The sequence below is a fragment of the Homo sapiens genome, chromosome 1 (genome assembly GCF_000001405.40).
Source record: "Homo sapiens chromosome 1, GRCh38.p14 Primary Assembly".
NCBI lineage: Eukaryota > Metazoa > Chordata > Mammalia > Primates > Hominidae > Homo > Homo sapiens.
The window spans coordinates 82,067,311-82,068,959 of record NC_000001.11 but is presented as its reverse complement, the minus strand read 5'-3'; the positions used below and the strand labels follow the sequence as shown (position 1 = coordinate 82,068,959).

Below are 1,649 nucleotides of genomic sequence, written 5' to 3'. Positions count from 1 at the left end.
AAGTAAAGGCCTTTCCTACAGGGTCTGAGAAGGCCACCACAGTCATTTCTTCCCTTCTGTCAGACATAATTCCTCAGTTTAGCCTTCCCACCTCTATACAGGCTGATAACAGACCAGCCTTTATTAGTCAAATCAGCCAAGCAATTTTTCAGGCTCTTAGTATTCAGTGAAACCTTTATATCCCTTAGGGTCCTCCGTCTTCAAGAAAAGTAGAATGGACTAAAGGTCTTTTAAAAACATACCTCACCAAGCTCAGCTACCAACTTAAAAAGGACTGGACAATACTTTTACCACTTTCCCTTCTCGGAATTCAGGCCTGTCCTCGGAATGCTACAGGGTACAGCCCATTTGAGCTACTGTATAGACACTCCTTTTTATTAGGCCCCAGTCTCATTCCAGACACCAGACCAACTTAGACTGTGCCCCCAAGAAAACTTGTCATCCCTACTATCTTCTGTCTAGTCATACTCCTATTCACCGTTCTCATCTACTCACACATGCCCTGCTCTTGTTTACACTGCCGGTTTACACTGTTTCTCCAAGCCATCACAGCTGATGTCTCTTGGTGCTATCCCCAAACTGCCACTCTAAGCTCTTAAAGTAAATAAATAATCTTGGCTGGCAGGACTATGCTGAATCTCCTTAGGCACTCTCTAATCAGATGTCCTAGGTCCTCCCAATTCTTAGACCTTTTATACCTGGTTTTCTCCTTCTCTTATTCCATTTAGTTTTTCAGTTCATACAAAACCGTATCCAGGCCATCACCAATCATTCTATACGACAAATGTTTCTTCTAACAACCCCACAATATCACCCCTTTCCACAAGATCTTCCTTCAGCTTAATCTCTCCCACTCTAAGTTCCCACGCCACCCCTAATCCCGCTTGAAGCAGCCCTGAGAAACATCGCCCATTCTCTCTCCATACCACCCCCAAAAATTTTCGCCGCCCCAATACTTCAACACTATTTTGTTTTATTTTTCTTATTAATATAAGAAGACAGGAATGTCAGGCCTCTGAGCCCAAGGCAAGCCATCACATCCCCTGTGACTTGCACGTATACGCCCAGATGGCCTGAAGTAACTGAAGAATCACAAAAGAAGTGAAAAGGCCCTGCCCCGCCTTAACTGATGACATTCCACCATTGTGATTTGTTCCTGCCCCACCTTAACTGAGTGATTAACCCTGTGAATTCCCTTCTCCTGGCTCAGAAGCTCCCCCACTGAGCACCTTGTGACCCCCACCCCTGCCCACCAGAGAACAACCCCCTTTGACTGTAATTTTCCATTACCTTCCCAAATCCTATAAAACGGCCTCACCCCTATCTCCCTTCGCTGACTCTTTTCGGACTCAGCCCGCCTGCACCCAGGTGAAATAAACAGCCATGTTGCTCACACATACACACAAAAAATAGAGTGTAAAGCAATATTGCTTGATTGTGTTCTCCCCAATTAGGTAAGTGCCATTTACAGAGGAAAATAGAAGATCAATTTGTCAGACCTACAAATGTATAAAAATAATTCAGGTTTAGTCATTCTTTTGTACTCTTTTCTTCCCTCCTCCTTTTCTTCCTTTTTTTTCCTCTTTTAATTTTTTTATGATGTTTACTGCCAATCTTGGACCTTCTAAAAGAATCAGGTCATAGTCTTT

General features: G+C 43.5%; 1 annotated feature.

The window, feature by feature from the left end:
- Positions 822-1,385: an enhancer, noted in NCBI's record as "NANOG-H3K27ac hESC enhancer chr1:82533259-82533822 (GRCh37/hg19 assembly coordinates)". NCBI's record gives its function as "activates a minimal SCP1, AML or CMV promoter by ChIP-STARR-seq in naive H9 embryonic stem cells {active_cell/tissue: H9 hESC(naive)}" and the evidence as "EXISTENCE:reporter gene assay evidence [ECO:0000049][PMID:30033119]".